This window comes from Homo sapiens, chromosome 3, assembly GCF_000001405.40.
Source record: "Homo sapiens chromosome 3, GRCh38.p14 Primary Assembly".
In the NCBI taxonomy this organism is placed as follows: Eukaryota; Metazoa; Chordata; class Mammalia; order Primates; family Hominidae; genus Homo; species Homo sapiens.
The window spans coordinates 108,441,509-108,462,608 of record NC_000003.12 but is presented as its reverse complement, the minus strand read 5'-3'; the positions used below and the strand labels follow the sequence as shown (position 1 = coordinate 108,462,608).

General features: G+C 36.0%; 1 protein-coding gene across 2 annotated transcripts in view; it reads left to right on the top strand.

Annotated features, from left to right (window-relative positions):
- The window catches only part of MYH15 (myosin heavy chain 15), a 170,705-nt gene that overhangs the window by 88,464 nt on the left and 61,141 nt on the right, over positions 1–21,100 (top strand). For both annotated transcript variants that reach the window (XM_011512559.3, NM_014981.3), the window contains 6 exons: positions 2,242–2,309; positions 3,160–3,247; positions 5,726–5,843; positions 6,750–6,873; positions 8,467–8,603; positions 17,714–17,969. In XM_011512559.3, coding sequence (XP_011510861.1) covers positions 2,242–2,309; positions 3,160–3,247; positions 5,726–5,843; positions 6,750–6,873; positions 8,467–8,603; positions 17,714–17,969 — 791 coding nt within the window. The remainder of the gene's footprint in view (positions 1–2,241; positions 2,310–3,159; positions 3,248–5,725; positions 5,844–6,749; positions 6,874–8,466; positions 8,604–17,713; positions 17,970–21,100) is intronic.

The following is a 21,100-nucleotide window of genomic DNA, read 5'->3' as shown; positions in this document are numbered from 1 at the left end:
TGTTTAGTAGTTTGTAATTTACAAAGTACTGTTAGATACATTATCTTACTCATTTCTTACCTGACACTTTAAGATATATACAGAATGTTCCTGTCTTTCCACCTAGCCTTTGCCATGTCGTAGATTTATAAAATCAGGGATCCTACTTAACTTCTCACAGGAACAAATATAGAGAAGTTAAGTAGCATCCCTGATTTTACAAATCTACTATATGGCAAAAGGCTAGGTAGAAAGATAGACTTCTGTTTTCTAGTTTAGTGCCTATTCTACTCACTGTCTCCCAGGAATGAACAAAACAGAGACAGACAGGCTACATGCATTTACGATGCAGTGAAAACTTCTGCACCATCATGTGATGGATTTGAAGATACTGAGCCAAAGTTGTTAACACCAGCCTCACTGAACGAAATGCTAACTACATACAGAGGGAAGCTCTCCATGATTTACAGCAAAAGTCACAGATCGACAGCCTCTGAGCAGAAACTGGCCTTCAAACACGTTTTGTTTGGTCCACACAAGCTAAAAAAATCAGATTTCACATGCACATTTGAGTTTCCGTTTTCTTTTGAAAAATGGAAATTCTGGGGAAATAGATAATCTAGCCAGCCTGGGTTCTGATTTCCCCATGGCAACAGTACACCAACTGTTCTTTAAATGGGGTGTGTACTCTCACTTTCGAACATACCCTGCTGTTATCTTACACCCAGCTGCATGTTAACTCCCAGCCCCTATCAGGCTGATTGGTTCTCTCGACTGACATAGGGAATGGAGAGAAAATTTAGCACTTTCTGGCTTCATCAGCACATGATGACATAATTCTGGAACATGCCTGAAATCCTCTGGGCCTGCCTCAAGAAGAGATGGAAGCTATTGTGACTGGACCCGGCTAATCTTCAGGCAGTACATTTGCCTGATTCTAATAGCTGCTAAAGTACCTCTGAGAAGTCTGTTTGATAGTAGCCACATAAGCTTATGACTCCCATTTGAGTAATTCTCTGATCATAAGAGATCAGAGAATGGTTTGGGCAGAGAATTAGAGGAGAAATCGTCTTCTAACTCTTCAGGTTGTGTACTGTGTTCTTTGGAACTAAAAGACAAGAATTGTTCAGAATGGCCTTTTTTTTAAATAATTCTTTAAGCACCCTCTGAAAATACTTGCCTCCAAGTTTCTGACGGATCTGAACATTAAATTGCTTGTGATAACCATACTTTCTCCTGGGGAATCCAAATAATTTAAACCAGGGTTATAATTCTTTTTAAAAAATTAATGAAAGGTAGTGTTATTCCCTTTTCATAGATGGAAAAACTGAAGTACAAAGAAGTCAAGTGTTTCACTGAGAGACCTGGGGTGTTTCAAAAGAACATTAGTGATTGAGCTTCATGACATCTGCCATCGCACAGTTGCTACTCAGGCGCAGAGAATATTTTATTAGTTTTCCATATTGACAGCTACCCTATTCTGTCCAGCTTGCCTATGGATTTTGTTGTTGCTGTGTTGCACATCTTAGTAACTTAGCACTATTCAAATGTTTGTAAAGCTGGTTGGCCTAGCACAGGTTCTTTTTCTTCAAGAAAATGGAAATAGACTTATTATTTTTTATAAATCATGAAAATAAATACATGAATGTTGCTAAAAACACAGACAATATAGAAAAACTGAAAGAAGAACATAAAAATTATCTGTAATCTCATATAGATTAACAAACTGTTTACATTTTGGTATTTACACCTCCCAACATTTTTCATGTTTATAGTCACCTATAACACAGCTGCACTTAAAAAAACATGTATACATACTCAGGGTCATCATATATAAAATTTAGGCTTTGTAAACTAACTTTTTATCTAAAAACATCCTAGAAATCTTTCCATATAAGTTATATGGATCCACATCATCATTTTAAAAGCTTACAGTGTTTCACTGTATGCATATTCTCTCATAAATTAATCTCCTATGATGTGCATTTGTTGATGAATTTTATTTTTGCTTAATTTTTTTGCAATGACTAAATAATGCTTCAGTGAGTATCATTGCACAGTTGCCTGATTATATCCTTAAGGAAAAACACTAAAAATATACATTTTGTGATAAAAGACATAAATATTTTGAAGCTTTTGGTAGATATTGCCATATTGTTCTAGAACTCTGGTGAATTTATGCTTCCATCAGTGGGGTAGGATAATGTGATAAAAATGAGCTTTTTACATGTTTTCATCTTTTTCTTTTTTTTTTTTTGCTAGCTATACCATTTGGGGAGAAGAAACGAAAGAAAGGAGCTTCATTCCAAACGGTTGCATCTCTGCATAAAGTAATTTTTAATTGCGTCTATTCATATATTAATTGCCTCACAATCTGCATATGTTATTATTTAGTTGACATTTCACATCTTCAAATAAGGATAAAGTATCAGGAGCTAGCAAGTTGGAAAAGTTGAAGTTTATGCTGTTATTATCAAGGGCTTTAGAGGACACTGTTTGTTCCCACTTACATCCCCTTTATCATGCCTGCACCCATCTTCCAGCTGATGTGCATATTGGCTCATAACAACTCTGAGTTGTCAGAATTGCACTTAGCCAAAGGGGAAACTAAGCTGCCTCTTTGCCCTCCTCTCCAGACTTTAGCCTCTCCCTTGCCTCAAGGGAGACCACCTATGCTGCAATTGGTGCATTCGTGTTTACAGCTCTTGCTTGCAAGGATCAGACTAAAGCTGAGTCTGAATCATTGCTTTTCTCTTCCCCTGCTGTTCCCAGCTTTCTTCACTCCCTAAAAATCTCTTGAACCAGAATTCCCATCTCAGGTTTGGCTTCTAGAGAATCTGACCTAAGATAAAGGTTTTCCACAGAGAGAGAACTTGAGAAACAATTTCTTTTTTCAAGCCATTTTATAGCCCAGCCATAACTTTGATATTGCTATCAAATTCAAAATAGGTAGAGATGATTCACAATTTAACTATGTCTGTCAAATAAATATTGACTTGCCATAGGAAAGAAATAATGTGCATTTGGTAGGCAGTAAAGAATGTTGAATTCATTATTTTACTGTTAGAATACATCTTGGCTGTGAGATTAAGTTGATAGATTTGGAGACATTTGTGAGGTGGATTGGTGTTTTTAGTGATTTGCAAAGTGATTTTGTGTTTATTATGGTCTCCATTTTAGGAAAACCTGAATAAATTGATGACTAATCTGAAATCAACAGCACCTCATTTTGTGAGATGCATAAATCCCAATGTGAACAAAATACCAGGTAAGAACTAGATTTCTTTGTAATTCACACTAGGAAATAGATTTGATATTAGCTATATTGAATATCTTTTAAAGAAATATTTATTGGTGCCTTTTATATAAGGGTAGAATTTCATATAGAAAAATGAAAATATGTTAAAAATGAGGTCTTTGGAACCTCCTCAATATTGCCATTGAAATGGATGTACAGAAGGGTTTCACAAAGCGGTCTCAATTGGGCAACATTAGAATGTTTGATATTACTATTTAAATTCTTCCTTGAATTTTATGCTGAACATGAGTGAGCTCCCATGCCATTGTCTACAAGGACAAACTATAATAAAAATGGAATTGAATAATCAATTAGGGGATTAAGGTAGATATTTCAGCATAAAGGAAGTTATTTGGTCTGAGTTATCTAAATTGACCATAAAGACACTTCCTAAATCCATTTCTAATTGTTGAGAACACCCTCTAGTCCTCCTTGCCAATGCCAACATCTTCTTCCCTCTTTCTAATAGCATTCATTTTTTTTTTTAGTTATGTAACTCTGGGTAGTGGCTATCTTTTGATCAGTGAATAGTGGTAGGGGGATGATGTGATAGGTGGATGGTAGTGATTTTTTTTTTTAATGTTTTCAATTCCCCAAACAAGGGTTTTACCAAAATTAACTACATGGATTGCTTTCCTTACTTCATGAGCTTGAAGATTCCCAGCCACCTCTTTGGAGTTACTGGCCCCTCTGGAGCTTGGTTTGGAGGCTGTCAGCCTCCAAGGAATGTATATGACAAGCCCTATGTCTTCAGAGCACTAACCACCCTTATAATACATAGCCAGATGTTGCTGGTTCTGATCTCTGAGGTTCCATAGTAGCTTGCATTTTTATTAACCTCCTGTAATTAAGACCCCAATCCTGACAGTCTATGGCCTATTTTGGGAAAGTGTGATACAAAACAATGATGCTGCAGTTTGAGTTTCTGCGATACAAATACTTTCATGTTCATTCACGGCTGTATGTTTGTGCCTCATTGTTTCCTATCAGCTGGGTTTCTGGATGTGTCTAGGGACACTGCTTCCATCTATCAAGGAATCTAATTAGCTGAGTTCTATTTTGGAGCAATTCTGTTACCTATTAGAGTTGCTTCCCATCGAGTCAACTTGGATTTCAGCAGGTTTGGTTTTTTTCTTAAAGTCATAAGACAAAGTCATAAGAAAAGCTTCATGATCTAATCAAAACAGTTATTCATATGTACTTAAAGAGAATGAGTGAGTCTGATGTTAAGGTGTCATAGGATTCTACTCCCTGTACCCCTCCCTTTTTTAAAAAAAATAATTTGAGACAGAGTCTTGCTCTGTTGCTGAGACTAGAGTGCAGTGGCTGAAGTGCAGTGGTATGATCTTGGCTCACCACAATCTCTGCCTTCTGGGTTCAAGCAATTCTTGTACCTCAGCCTCCTGTGTAGCTGGGACTACAGGCATGTACCACCACGCCTGGCTAATTTTTATATTTTTAGTAGAGATGGGGTTTCACCAAGTTGGTCAGGCTGGTCTCGAACTCCTGGCCTCAAGTGACCTGCCCGCCTCAGCCTCTGAAAGTGCCGTGATTACAGGCATGAGCCGCTGTGCCAGCCTACTTGTGCCTTCTTATACATCATCTGTTTCTATCTGTGAAAGGGATTCGAGTATAGAAATATGGGTATATGATTTAAGTTTATTTCTGTGACCTTGGGCATGGAGTCCTTTTTTTTTTTTATTTTTCATGTAATACCATAGTAGGAATTTGTGTTAGGAGATGTGGTCCTTGGCTTCTTTCAGAAGACTTGCTGAGGGCAGGGACAGTGGCTTCTTGGATGGTTTTTCAAAGGCTTCTATTGGACGTTGCAGCTGACAGCTGCAGTAGAGCTTCTTTTGATGAACGAGAAGGTGACAGAAGGATGCTTATACTACAGAATAGAATTTAGGCACTCTCATGAAAATAAGGGGAGAATGAAGTCTGGGATGTGGACAGGTCCTTCCTAAGCAAAACTGTAAACAGAATGTTGTGGTTGTGTCTATCTTCCCCTTTCCTTTTATTCTTCCTTGTTCTTATCCCTTCCCCCTCCTGCACGGAGAAGGCAGTTCTCTTTTGTGTTCTTATCACCCTTTCTGGCTGGTTTTGGTTGGCAAATGAACGTAGAGCAGCCATTTACATTCTAGCAAAAAATGTAATCTTTTTGCCTTCCAAGAATATTTGCTTATAAACATCTCATCTGACTGTGAATTAAGGGGCTTGTTCCATGTTAAAGGAATTTCAGGGAAATCATATTTGGAGATGCCTACATAATAGGATGATTACTGTGAGTACTATCAGGCCATAAGTGAGTGAACATCTATGACCTATCATGTGGAAACTATCCAATTCAGACTTTCTTTTTAACCCAAGATGCAGCAATTGGTTCAAAATCTGTCCCAATAATTTTTTTTCAGGCACAGATCCACCATGACTCTTTTTTTTTTCCAGGTATACTGGACCCTTACTTGGTTCTACAGCAGTTGCGCTGTAATGGTGTCTTGGAAGGGACTAGGATATGCCGTGAAGGTTTTCCAAACCGACTGCAGTATGCTGATTTTAAACAAAGGTAAACCTACATTCTAGGATCCAAGAAGCCTGAGGCAGTTCATTCTGTTTTCCTCCCTTTCCGAGTGTTTAGGCATGCATTGTTTGTTTGGTTGATGTCCTCCAGACTACAAATCGATGTGTTTTGGTGGTGGGAAGATATATGATGACAGAGTTCCATTATTATTTCCCCTTAAATCCAACATCCATGTAACTGTAATATCCTTAAATCTCTATTAACAAAGATAATAGACCCACATATAGAAGAAATATATACAGAAGAAACATATGGAGGCTGAATTGAATCTCTGAAATGTTGTGTATACTTAATCGTAGCTGCTATCCAAGCAGGCTGTGGCTTTACTAGCAAGCCCCTGAAAGGAAGGAAGCCAGCAGGGTGTATGGCAGGAGGCAGGAGTGGCATCTTTTCTATTTCTTGGATTCTAGAAGTTTAAATTATAGGTCATCAAATCAATTTGAGCAAAGTTTGGTAGAGTAAAAAGGGGCATATTTCTTGCTTTAGAATTAGGAGGCATATTTCTTGTTTTCCACCAACTCACCAACAGGGTAAAGGAATCCTGGAAAAGACATTTAATGTCTCTGCTTTTCAGTTTCCTTATCTATACAGTAGAGATACTTATGCTTTCCTCCCTCCCTCTCTTTCCTCTTCCAATCCTGCCCCTGCCTAATTGAGCAATCAATCAAATGAGGTTGCCTCTAAAGCAATATGAAAAGTACAAACTATTATACCAATGCAAGGGATTATTGCTTGTACCCTCATTATTGTTACTAAGAATCTTGTGAAAATTGAACATATTAGTAACAGAGATAAAAATCTATGTCTCCTTTCACCTCATTTGTCTAGATTAGTCTTTATTTGAATAATATGATTTCCCAAACTCATGATTTTTTCTTTATTTTAAATTAGGTACTGCATTCTGAATCCAAGGACCTTTCCAAAGAGCAAGTTTGTGAGCAGCAGAAAAGCAGCTGAAGAATTACTTGGCTCCTTGGAGATAGACCATACCCAGTACCGATTTGGAATCACTAAGGTAACCAGAAAACTGCAAAGAATGCATTTGGAGACGAATGGGGGGAAGACTGTGTATCTTAAAATACCTGTGAATGCTCAATTATAAGGCATTCTTCAGCTCTCATGACCATAAATATCACAAACAGATCTTAGCTGAAGGTGAAAACTTCGGTGCTGTTTGAGAAAAATATTCAATGTTTTTTAAACCTCAGTTTTGACTACATTTACATTTTTATAATTAGTCAACTAAGCAAATTTGTGTCAAGATATAAAATACTGAATCAACCTGATGTTATGAGAAAATGTGTATATATCAGAGCTAGAAAAAGTGAATCAGCTTCCTGGAGCTAATGGCTTGTCTGTGTGTGAACTGATTCATCCACCATATTCTTTCAGGGACAGTATTCTCTTAGGGACTAATTTTTCTGAGTAATTTAAAACTTTAAAGTTAACCCACTATCAAAAAATTAATCCAAAACCAACTTCCTTAAATGTGATTCCCTAAATTCTACTTCATCTTAGATGATATTGGCATGACTCACATATTTTGGGAAACTTCTAACTTATCAATAGATTTGGTGTTATCTGGCAGTCAACATCAGTTTGTTCCTAATGACATTCATATAAGGAACAAATTATTTGAAGGAGAGTTAAAAAATTCAGGATAAAGACCTCATAGAATTAGAACTCTGTAGGATATGGTTATAAAATGTTGACTCCCATATTTTGAGTACCTGAGAATCAGTTTCTGCTGTTTATTGTTTCTGCTGATTTTCACTGATGATGCCTTCCTTCCTTGTGTGTTTAGTTATTTTTACTGTATACTATTCATCTGGGCCAAGATTGACCTGAGGCAAGTGAAACTCCTAAGGCACAAATTTCAAAGAGGCTCTCATTCTCAGGGTTGGGCAAGTGAGGTTGAAAGGCACACACTCTCAGGGCACTCTCACACTTAGTGCCTCCATAAAATGTGTGCTTTAGGCACCTCACTCATTTCACCTTGTTTGTTAGTAATCATTCTTGAAAAAATACTTTTGTGGATTATTTGATGCCTAGACAAAAGTGCCTTACTCTAGAACAGAGGTCAGCAAACTATGGCCCAAGAGCCATGTCCATGGACTGTTTTTTTAATATATGGCCCACTAGCTAAAAATGGTTTTAGATGGTTCACGAATTGTTTAAAAAAACAAGAATATCCTACAGAGATTGTGTATAGCCCATAAAGCCTAAAAATATTTACTATCTGATCCTTCACAGAAAATGTTTGCAGAACCCTACCTGGTACTTTGGCACACTGCATGCCTGAGCCCATCTTAAAACTTAAACCAGGTTCCCTAAACAATTGAGACATTATTAATAGATAAGGGGAAGAATAGTTTAAGTTCTTAGGCAAACAATAGAACCACATGATTTAATAACGTTTTTTTTTTCACATTTTAGATTTATAAAATCAAACTTTCTAAGAAGTAGATTTTACACATTAAATAAAACTTACAAGAAATGGAATTGATACAGTTATCCCTAGGAACACAACAGTTGCTCACAGGATCATTTAATAAACATTTGCTGAATACCCATTATCAGTGGAGCTAACATCTGACTTTTCCTTTAGGTGTTTTTTAAAGCTGGGTTTCTGGGCCAACTGGAAGCAATAAGAGATGAGAGACTATCTAAAGTCTTCACATTGTTCCAAGCCAGAGCACAGGGCAAACTGATGCGAATCAAATTCCAGAAGATTCTGGAAGAAAGGTATTATATGCCCACCCTGCTCCCCAACTGCTAGGGTAATAGTGTGCCTCAACCAGTGCAACTAATCTCATTGCCTTATAGTAGGTCAAGAGCTGCCTCCTCTGCTTAGGCTGGGTCTTAAACATTTTTAAATCATGAGATAACAAAAGGACAGAGTGCAAAGGGCTTTTATTGCCCTATTCAACCAAATATAAGCATAATTCAGATATTTCTTGTCATGCTTTCAGGCTTCCCTTTGAGAGAGATTTTTATGTTCTGAGAAGTCTGGATCTCTGAGAGTGGTGTGACTCACAATTTATATCAGAAGCAGACCTGGAAAGGTTTGCATATATCCCACAGCCAACTCTTTGGGGAAGTGTGCTTCAAAGACCGAGGTGTTCTGACCCCTTTGTTACCTCCCCTGGGTCAGAAACTGTGGCTCTTGTTGACATGTAATCATAACTTTCTTACTTTATTTCAGACAGGTTCACTAGGGACATTTATCACCATGCTTGTACATTCTTAGGCATTGGTTTTGTCTATTGTTTAATAGAATCATGAAAAGCAAGCTAGCAAAATCTCCAAACAAAGGGACTGTGAGCAAGGGATGCTGAAGTTGTATTTACTTTTTCGTTAGCATATATTGTCTTCTGAAGAAAGGTCTACAGATCTTGGTGTAACTTGTTTAATTGACAATTTGTTAATTCTGTTTTTTCCCAAGAGAAAAAGATTATTACATGGTGATGTCAAAGATATTAGAGAGATGACTCTTAAGGGTCTTCTGTGACTCTCATATAGTGGTCAATGTGGTATGGGAGTTTGGGGGTCACAGAACATGGCTTCTAGGACCAGTTGTGTAAACTTGAGTAAGATTCTGAATTTCTCCATAGTTTACTTTCTTCATGTCTAAAGTGAAGCCTTTATGATCCATTCTCTCTAAATCATGACTTCAAAAGTTATTGTGAAAGCTCTCAAGTAAATAAAAAATACAGAAAATACTATAATGCATACTCATGGAGCCATCATGAAGATATATCAATTCTTAACATTATTATTATTAATTTCTTATTTTTGTAGAAACAGGGTCTCCCTATGTTGCCCAGGCTGGTCTCGAACTCCTGGGCTCAACAATCCTCTTGCCTCAGCCTCCCAAATTGCTGAGATTACAGGCATGGGCCATGGCACCCAGCCAACTCAATATTTTTTTTCTGTAATTGCTAACAACATTAAAAAAAATTAACATATATAGTTGAAGCCTCCATATAGTTCTGCTGTAATCCAAGTCTTACCTTTTCCTTCTCAGATCCTGAGTTTGTGTTTCTCATTCCATGTTTTATATATGTTATATAAAAGTATGTTTTCATACCTTTACTTACTCGATATGCAGATATCCTTAAAATGTGACATGATTTTACATGTGCTTAGTCTTCATGTAAATAATATTTTGTATATATTGTCCTGAAGTTTGTCTTTTATATTCAGTATTATTCTTTGAAATATATCAATGTTAATGAATCTAGGGCTAGATTATTGATTTTAACTGCTGTATAGTATTCCATTATATAAATATATCATAATTTATTTATCAATTTTCCAGCTAAAGTAAATATTTGTTATTTCCTTTTTTTTTGTTGCTACTAACTTCTGCAGTGATATTTTTGTAAATGTCTCCCCATTCATATACATAAGAGTTTCTTGAGGGCATCATTACTCAAAATACTCCATTTTCTGATAACAATTTGTGGATAGCAGCTGGTCTGAGGCACACACTTTGAGTGGCACTTCTCTAGGGCATGAATTAATAATAGGTTGTAGGTCACACACAACTGCAATTTTGCAAGATGTTGCCAAATTGCTTTCTAATATATCATACTCTCCACCAGCAATGTATGAGAGTCCCCTTGTCCCATGTTCTCACCCACTTGTGGTATATCAGCCTTTAAAAACTTTTGCCAAATGTCTTCATATTTCTGACTTTGGGGAAAGCTATCATTTCCCTTTAACAAATGATGTTTTCTGTAGGTTTTTTTTTTTTTTGTAGAAATGACTTATTATATGAAGGACATTCCCTCTATTTTATTTTGTTAAGCATTTTTATCAGGAAATTATTTAATCATTTATCTGCATCTATTGAAACAATCACATGGTTTTTCTGAATTAATCTATAAATGTGTGGAAATATATTAACAGATTTTTAAAAATGTTAAACTTACTTTGGTTAAGAAATATTTTCATACATTGATGGGTTTGATTGTAATATCACCATGAGATTTTTGCATCAATATTCATGAATAAGATTGGCCTGTAATTTTCTTTTCATCTGCTATGTTATCTGAATTTGAATCAAGGTTATCTTAACCTCATAAAACAGTTGAAGAATGTTTTCTCTCTTCAAAACATGAACCAGTTTATAACTGGTCTTTGAATCTTTGGTAGACATTGCCAGTAAAATCATCTGGATCTGGTGTTTCTTTTGTGATAGATTTTATATTTTGATTCAATTTATTTATTGGTTACATGTCTAATGAGATATTTTCTTCTTGAATTAGTGCAGGAAAGCTTTCTTTTATTAAAAAAATTTTACATTTCTTTTGAATTTTTCAATTTGATCAATTTTTATTTTATTTTTTATTTTATTTTATTTTTTGAGACAGAGTCTCTCTCTATCGCCCAGGCTGGAGGGCAGTGGCATGATATCGGGTCACTGCAACCTCTGCCTCCCTGGTTCAAGTGATTATTGTGCTTCAGCCTCCTGAGCAGCTGGGATTACAGGCGTGTGCCTCCACACCTGGCTAAATGTTATATTTTTAGTAGAGATAAGGTTTCACCATTTTGAGCAGGATGGTCTCAAACTCTTGGCCTCACGTGATCTGCCTGCCTTGGCCTCCCAAAGTGTTGGGATTACAGGCATGAGCCACTGTACCTGGCCTTATTATTTTTAAATCTCTACTGTATCTCTAATTCTATTCCTAGAGCATAATCCTAAATTATTTATATTTCTAGAGTATTATCATTTCTAGTATTTTTTTGTGGCTTCTCTCCTTTTTCTTGAACATTCATGCCACATCTTTATTTAGTCTATTTAATAAATCACTTAAACTTTTTTCTAGATCATTAATTTCTGATCTTACCTTTATTCTTTCTTTTCTTCTACTTTCTTTGTGTTTATTTTTTTCCTTTTTCTAACTTTATTCAGTTATCATTGACAAAAATTGTATATATGGCGTATAATCTGATGTTTTGATATATGTAGGTATTGTGAAATGATTACCACAATCAAACTGATTAATCATCACCTTACAAAGTTATCTTTTGTGTGTGTGGTGAGAGCATTTAAGGTCTACTCTCTAAGCAAATTTCCAGTATACAATACAGTATTATTAACTGTGGTTACCATGCTGTATATTAGATCCTCAGAACTTACTCATCTTGCATAAGTGAAACGTTGTGTCCTTTGAGCAACATCTCCTCATTTTCCCCATGCCCTGGCTGCTGGTAACCACCATTCCACTCTCTACTTCTGTGAGTTTGACTTTTTTAATATCCCACATATGAGTGAGATTATGCTGTATTTGTCTTTAAGTGCCTGGCTTATTATATTTAGCATAATGTCCTCTAGGTTAACCCATGTTGTCACAAATGACAATGTTTTCTTTTTTAAGGTTGAATAATATTTCATTGTATATTTATGACACATTTTCTTTATTTATTTGTCAATGAACACTTAGGTTGATTCCATATCTTGGCTATTGCAAATAATAGTACAATGAACATAGTAGTGCAGATATGTCTTCAAAATTCTAATTTCATTAGTATTTTGAAATATTAATGGGATTGATAGATCCTATGGTAGTTCCATTTTTAATTTTTTGAGGAGCCTTCATACTGTTTTCCATAATGGCTGTACCAATTTACATTCCCATCAACAGTGTACAAGGGTTCCCTTTTTCCACATACTTGCCAACTCTTATCTTTTGTTTTTTAGTAGCCATTCTAACAGGTGTGAGATGATATCTCATTGTGGTTTTGATTTGTATTTCCCTGATAATTAGTGATGTTGAACATTTTTTCATATATTATTGGCCATTTGTAGTCTTTTGAGAAATGTCTATCAGGTCATTGCTGATTTTTAATGGGGTTGTTTTCATGCTATAGAGTTGAATTCCTAATAAATTTTGAATATTACCCCTTTATTTCATGTATAGTTTGCAAATATTTTCTCCCATTCCATAGGTTGTCTTCTCCTTGTTTATAGTTTCTTTTGCTATGCAGAAGCTTTTTAGTTTGATGTAATCCCATTGTCTATTTTTGCTTGTGTTGCCTTTGATTTTGGGGTCACATTAAAAAAATTTGCCAAAACCAATGTCAGAAACTTTTTCCCCAAGTGTTCTTCTGGTAATTTTACAGTTTCAGATCTTACATTTAAGTCTTTAGTTCATTTTGAGTTCATATTTGTATATGGTGTGAGATGAGGATCCACTTAGTCTTCTGCATGTGGATATCTAATTTACTAACCCCATTTATTGAAAAGACTGTCCTTTCCATACTGTGTGTTTTTGGCAACTTTATTGAAGATCAATTAACCATAAATGCATAGATTGATTTCTGGGTTCTCTGATCTGTTCCATTGGACTATATGTTTGTTTTTATGCTAATACCATGCTGTTTTGATTGCTATAGTTTGTAGCATATTTTGAAATTAGGTAATGTGATTCTTCCAGCTTTGTTTCTAATGTCTTGGCTATTTGAGGTCTTTTGTGGTTCCATATAAATTTTAGGAATTTTTCCTAGTTCTGTAAAAAATGCCATTGGAATTTTAAAAGGGTTTGCATTGAATCTGTAGATAACTTTGGGGACTATGGACTTTTAACCAAAAATATCCTGTGTTCTTCCAATTCATGAACACAAGATATTTTTGCATTTGTTTGTGTCTTCAATTTCTTTTATCAATGTTTTATAGTTTTCAACATGCAGCTCTTTTACCTCCTTGGTAAGATTTATTCTTATCTATTTTATTTTAATTTTTGATGCTATTATGAATTGACTTCTTTTTTGGATAGTCCATTGTTAGTATATAGAAATGTTACTAATTTTTTATGTTGATTTTTTTATCCTGCAACTTTACAAGCGTGTTAATTCTGTTTTTTTGGTGGTTTTTAGGGTTTTCTACATGAGATACTTTAACTTCTTTGTTTCTAATTTGAATGACTTTTGTTTCCTCTTTTTGCTAATTACTCTGGCTAGGACTTTCAGTACTATATTGAAAAAAACTATTGAGAGTGAGCATTCTTGTCTTGTTCCTGACCTTAGAGGAAAAGCTTTCAGTTTTTCACCATTAAGTATGATGTTAGCTGTGGGCTTGTCATATATGGCCTTTATTATGTTGCAGTACTTTCCTTCTATACCTACATTGTTGAGAATTTTTATGATGGATGAATGGATGGATGTTAAATCTTGTCAAATATAAAGATATTTATATCATCTTGATGAACTGACACATTTTTCATTAGGTAATAACTTTCTTTATCTCTTGTTACAGTTTTTGACTTATATATATTTTATCTGATGTAACTATAGGTATCCCTGCTCTTTTTCAATTTCCATTTGCATAGAATACCTTTTTCCATTTCTCACTTTCAACCTGTGTATGTTCTCAAAGCTAAAGTATGTCTCCTGTTGGCAGCATATAGTTGGGTTTGGTTTTTCTATTCAGCCACTCTGTCTTTTGATTGGTGAACTTATTTCATTTATATTTAAAGTAATTATTAATAGATACAGACTTACTGCCATTTTGTTAATTGTTTTACAACTTTTTAAAAAAATTGTTTCTTTCTGTCTTCCTTTGTGATGTGATAATATTTTGTAATGCTAGGTATTCCTTTCTCTTTATCTTCTGAATACTTACTAGAAGTTTTTTCTTTGTGGTTACTATGAGGCTTACATAAAACATCTTGTAGTTATATGTTTATCTTAAGGCTGACAACATCTTATTTTAAGCTGGCAATAGTTTAACTTCAACTACATATAAAAACTCTTAATTTTAACTTATCTTGTCCCCACATTTTATGTTATTTATGTCACAATTTAATATTTTTTAGTATTGTATATCTATTAATCAGTTATTATAGCTATAGTTTTTTAAAATAATTTTGTACATTAACTAATTTTAGAGTTAAAGGTGATTTATGCACCATTATTACAGTATTATTCTGAATTTGACTATATTCTTTTCAGTGAGTTTTACACTTTTATATATTTTTGTGTGGTTAGTTAGCATCCTTTTGTTTCAACTTGAAGAACACCCTTTAGCATTTCTTGTAAGGCAAGTAGTGACGATAAACTCCCACAGCTTTTATTTGTGTGGCAGTCTGTTATCTCTCCATTTCTGAAAGGCAGCCTTGCTGGATACAGTATTTCTGGTTGGTGGTTTTTAGTTTTTTTTTTTTCTTTTAGCACTTTGGTTATATCACACCACTCTCTTCTGGTCTGCAAGGTTTTTGCTGAGAAATCTGCTCATAGTCTCATGAGGGTTTCATTATATGTGACAAGTTACTTTTGTTTTGCTGCATTCAAAATTCTCTCTTTGACTTTTGAGAATTTCATTATAATGTGCATTGGTGAAGATCTCTTTATATTTGATCTACTTGGGGTTCTTTGGGCTTAATGAATCTAGTTGTTCGTTTTCCTCTCCAGATTTAAAAGCTTTCTGTCATTGTTTCTTTAAATAAGCTTTCTGTTTCTCTTTCTCTGCTCCTTCTGTAACTCCCATAATGTGTATATTGGTAAGCTTGCCGATGTCCTACAAGTGCTGTAGGCATTCTTCATTCTTTTCATTTGTTTTTCATTTTTGTTCCTCTAAATGAGTAATTTCAAGTGACCTGTCTTTGAGCTCACTGATTCTTCCCCTTGATTGCATTTATACTTTCCATGGAATTTTTTCAGTCCAGCCATTTTGTTCTTCAATTCCAGAATTTCTATGTGGTTCTTTTTTATGGTTTTTATTTCCTTGTTGAACTTCCCCTTTTGTTCATGTATTATTTTTCTCACTTTGTTTAGTTGTTCTCTTGTAGCTCACTAAACTTTTTTTTAAGATCATTGTTTTGAATTCTTTGTCAGCAATTCATAGATCTCCATTTAGGTTGGATTTTTAGGGATTTATTTTATTCTTTTTATTCTTTTGTGTGTTCCTGATTCTTCATGTTTATTATAGCTTTGCATAAATGTCTGTACATTTGAAGAAACAGCATCCCCCCTCCTCCATGTTTATGGACTGGCTTTGACTGGGCAAAATCTTCACCAGACATCTTGGCTAGAGATTTTAGGACGTTGTTGCTAACCGCTCCAGGTGTCCAGTTTGTTTGTGCATTTGTTTCAGAAGCCTGTAATTTCTTGCTTTCTCCAGTTGTTACTTTGTAGATCTCCATTTTTTTAGGGATGGTTACTGGTGCTTTGTTTTGTTCCTTTGGTGGTGTCATTTTTTTGATTATTCATGATCCTTGTGGCCTTACATTAGTGTTTGTGCGTTTGAAGTAGTACACCTTTTGGTCTTTATAGGCTGGCTTCAACAGGAAAACCTCTTCAGCAGTAAGCTTGGTCAGAGATTCTTGGCAGCCCAGCTGGCATTGTCCACTGGCAGGAATGCTGCTGGAGTCTTGGGGCATGATGGCCTGGTGGTAGTTTCAGTGCACATTCAGGCCCAGTTCCTGGGTCCATGAAGATTAGCCTGGAGGCTGTATACACTAGATCTTAGATCCACATGGGCAGGCCTTGGTGTCTAAGTCCATGGTAGTGGACTTAGTGAGGGTATGTCTGGATCCTGGGGCCATGAGAATCAGTCTGTGGTTAGGATCTACTGGAACACCCTTGTTGACTGGGTTCATGGGGATAGGTCTGGGGCCTGGGTCTGTGGGGACTGGACTGATTATTGGGATGGTCCTAGAGTCTGGGTCACTGGGGGTAGGCTTGCAGTCTGGGGCTGCATGTCTGGACTGGCACTGGGGCAGGCCTGGAACCTGAGGTTGTAAGGGTCATCCTGGAGTCTGGAGCTGTGGGGGTTTATTCTTTTCTCAATTCACTAGTTTTTTTTCCCCAGTATTTCTAATAACCTGCTTAATTTTTCCACTGAGTATTTGATTCCAACTGCTATGTTTTTTAGTTTTAGACATTTTATTTGGTCTTCTTTCAAATCTGTGTGTCCTTTTGTCATAGTGGTTCATTGTTTCTAAAGTTCTTTCCTTTATACCTTTAATAATTTTTAACATAATTATTTGATAGTCTCCATCAGATAGTTCAATTATCTGAAAATCTTGGGGGTTTCATCAAACTTTTTATTATATGCACTCAACTTCATTTTCCTATATGTGGTTTGTAACTTTGGATTGTAAGCCCTCTTCAGGGGGCCTTATGTAGGAGAACTTCTGGTGCTTGGGTTTAAGGTATTTTTTTTTCAGTGTAATTTTGTATTTTCCTACCCCAAGGGTTGAAAAGGTATTTATTATCAGTAAAAAAATCACTGTGCTAATTTCTTGGATATTTGTGTATCATTCAGGCAGTATAATTTAGACCTTAAATACTTCAGTGGTACTGGATCATTAAAAAAAAATCTGAAGCAGGATTTGTCTTCACTCACACCAAATCAGATGTGCTTTAATTTGATATCTCTCTTTGCTGGTAGGTGGATTTTTCAGTCCTCCTTTTTATTAAGGGTAAGATTCTTTGAAGGTTTCTGCCTTGCCTTTTTATCCATGTGAATATGAAAATACAAACTCTTACAATACCAAGACTTGTTTCCTCCTTCCATAAAGATGGCCAAGCTATGCATGCATTCACTTATTGTTCAAGTTTTTGGTGCCTTCTATATGTCTTACTCTCTTTAGGTTCAGCTCTCATTCAAAGAATGTTTGTGGTAGGAACATTTTTAGGATATCTAGTCCATAATACTGCTAACCCCAGATATCCCTTGGAGAGTTTTTGCCAGAATCAAGTGAAAGTCCAGATATAAAAGTGCTTTGAAGACTAATAAGAATTTTTTATGACTCCTAAAAATATGTGTTTATTGAGGATCTTAATTTGGGAACTAATTCTCCTATAGTCAGGGCTAACTTGCTTTTCTTTTTTCTTTCTTGATTTAGGGATGCACTTATTTTGATCCAATGGAACATAAGAGCTTTCATGGCTGTGAAGAACTGGCCCTGGATGAGGCTCTTCTTCAAGATCAAGCCTCTTGTTAAATCTTCAGAAGTAGGAGAAGAAGTAGCTGGACTGAAGGAAGAGTGTGCACAATTACAGAAAGCCTTGGAGAAATCAGAGTTTCAGAGGGAGGAACTGAAAGCAAAGCAAGTATCCCTCACTCAGGAAAAAAATGACCTGATTCTTCAGCTTCAGGCTGTGAGTAGCCCCACCATTTGTTCTTTAAATCAAGTTTTTAATTAGACTCCCTTGTTAAGCAGGCAGTGTTGACACGGAAACAAAAAAATAGATGCATGTGGTTTTCAAATACCAAAGGATTTTATAAAACCAAAGACAATGAAAACAAAGAGATACCCTGTTTCATAGTGAAGTGATTTAATTGGCAAGATGTCTTTTAAAAAGGGACAAATTATCAGATGGGTTTTTACTGTATAATAGCACATCATGGAGGCCAGGAAGCTCTGGGTCTTAATTTAAAGTTTCTATGTAGCCCATGACCCATTAGCAAATCAGCAGACAGGATTTTAGTAGGTCCCAAGAAAAGCTTGACTGAGATCTTCAGGAATGCTGCAGTGTGCTTCTAGTCGGATATCCTGATTTTGGTCTCCCTGCTTCCCCTTCCTGGGTCCAAATCAACATTACTAATGAGCTTTTTTTAAAAAAATTAATTAATTAATTAATTTTATTATTATTATACTTTAAGTTTTAGGGTACATGTGCACAATATGCAGGTTAGTTACATATGTATACACGTGCCATGCTGGTGTGCTGCACCCATTAACTCATCATTTAGCATTAGGTATATCTCCTAATGCTATCCCTCCCCCCTCCCCCACCCCACAACAGTCCCCAGAGTGTGATGTTCCCCTTCCTGTGTCCATGTGTTCTCATTGTTCAATGAGCTGAGTTTTTAAAACAGTTCTTAACCTTGGCTTTGTATCAAATTTATTTGTGAAACATTAAAAAAAAAAAAATAAAGATGCCTAGACTCCACTCTCAGATATTTTGATTAAGCAGACTCTGTGTGGGTCCAAATAATCTCTATGGGTGACTCTGATATCCAGTCCAGATTAAGAACCATTGTCTTTAAAAAAGCATCATGTCGCTTTATGGGTGAGCAACCCTCAGATCATATAATACATACATTTTTAGATTCCAAACACCTGGTTTTGGCATTCAAGCCTCTGTCTACAGTATGATGCTAACGTGTCATTACTCACTCTCTTTCATGTTACTCCTCCCTAGCCCTCGGACTACTGTGATCCTGAAACAGCCCAAAGGGCCAGGATGAAATTTTAACCACCTTTATAATACTTTCCTCTCTACTTAGCACAGCATTAAGTTGAAAAATGCTGTGTTCAAATATAATTTATCTTGCTTTTTAAACAAGAAACAACAGTTTTTCTTGTTTTTAAACTCTACTAAAAACAGAAAATTTAGTGCTTTCAGACTGACACAAGTTATTCTTTTATTATTATTACTTTTTAATATTTTGGAGCTGTATTATCTACCAGCATGCCAACAGGCTGTATTTTATGTAAGACTTTACACCCAAACCCCCATTTCTGATACGTATTTAACATAGCAGTGATTCTACAACTTCAATGTATACAGTCTTACCTGGTATGCTTGTTAAAAATACAAATTCCTGGGCCCCATTTCAAAGCTACTGTAAGAAACTGTAAGAATCACAATTTGTAAAATATTTTGGTTTAGGGAATAGGTAACTTTGGTTGAGACCTCGCCTCCCAGTTTCTATCATTCTTCCTACTGATGGAAAGTAGCCAGTGCTACCTGGGGTGATGCAGGAGATAGAAATGGACCCAGCTTGTGTAGGGCATGGTAGACAAAAGCTTGATATGCATGTCAAAGGTCATTGTAGGGAGCATGGGAAACACATGGAAGCAAACTCTAGAGCAAACCCAAGAAGGCTGAGATGAGTTCAGATTGTAACTGTGATTAAGAAGTTGACAGAGCTATCATTATATATTATTATATATAATATCTATTTATGATTATTTTAAGGGAGAAAGCTAAACACAAAAGAATCCAAAAAAAAAAAAAAGAAATATTTTGAAATCCTTCTTTGCTTAGTCAAAATTCCAGCAGAACTGAGTGACCCCATTTCAATTAACATTGTGAGTATGTCAGAGAGCTGCCATTGGGGAAAGAATCTTCCTACTGCTAAACTGCCACACCATTGCTCAGCCCCCAAATCCTGCTGTCATGTTTAATGAAGAGATCAATGATGGTCGATTGGACTGTCCTCTTTGTTCAGTGATGGTGACAGGTCTTGTATACAGGCTGAATGGAATGCAGCAAAAACTGTTCTGCTTGTCAACCTGGGGTGAACTAAGATAAAATGTCCCCATTATTTCCCATACATTGGAAGCTTCTCTGATTTGCATTGACCCTTCCTAAATGTCCTGATACTTCTTTCTATTTAGCCCCTGTTCTGGGGTTTTCAGTGAAGTTGTACATTTATTATTCTATACCTCTCTCCATCTGTGCTTCTTTGAGCCCCGTTTGCTGGGTAGGCAGCCATTCTCCAGCCAGGAGCTACTCAGAGGCCAATAGCCTGGATTTTTACCTCCCCCCAGCCCCCCACTCTTGATCTAATTAGCAGACACAAGTTAAGTGAGGCAAATGGATCATTAATATGTTGCCCAAACTGGCATATTATGAAGGATAGGTGAGGTCTCGAGATGGAAGGTGAAAATGTATGTAAAGTTATATTACAGCAAGACCCGCAACAATTAAGAACTTGCTCATGAAGAAGAGGTTTTATTTAGCCAATAAAGAAGACAAATTAGAGGGGTCTAAAGTTATGAAAGGTGCTCTGTAGTAAAAAGCCCCTTTGCTTTTTACTTGACCCATAACACAGAAACAATGGGTCACCCAGTAAGAGCTGGAGGCAGTGCCTGTGAAAGGATAAATGAAAGAGTACCACATGCTCTTTGTGTAACTCCGTGCTGGCAGAATCATTGAGGCAAAAATTTTAGTTGGAAATAACAGTGAACTCTAGTTAGTGACTTGCAAATAACCTTATGAATTCTAAATTTAGCCTATGAATTTAAAAAACATATGACTCAGCTCAATTTATTAGAAGAGATGTATATTAAACACGTACATCCATGCACTTATAACAGTTACAGTGCAATATTCAGAGGGAACTCTGCTTTCTTAAAAGATGATTTCCTGAGCAGTTATCAACCTCAAACTCTGTGCCTACATGGATATTTCCAGAAGCTGTGGTTTAAGCAGCACACCACTGATTTTTGGAGGCATGCTAGCTCCTTTAGGCCACCAGGATTCTATTAAGTGCTTTA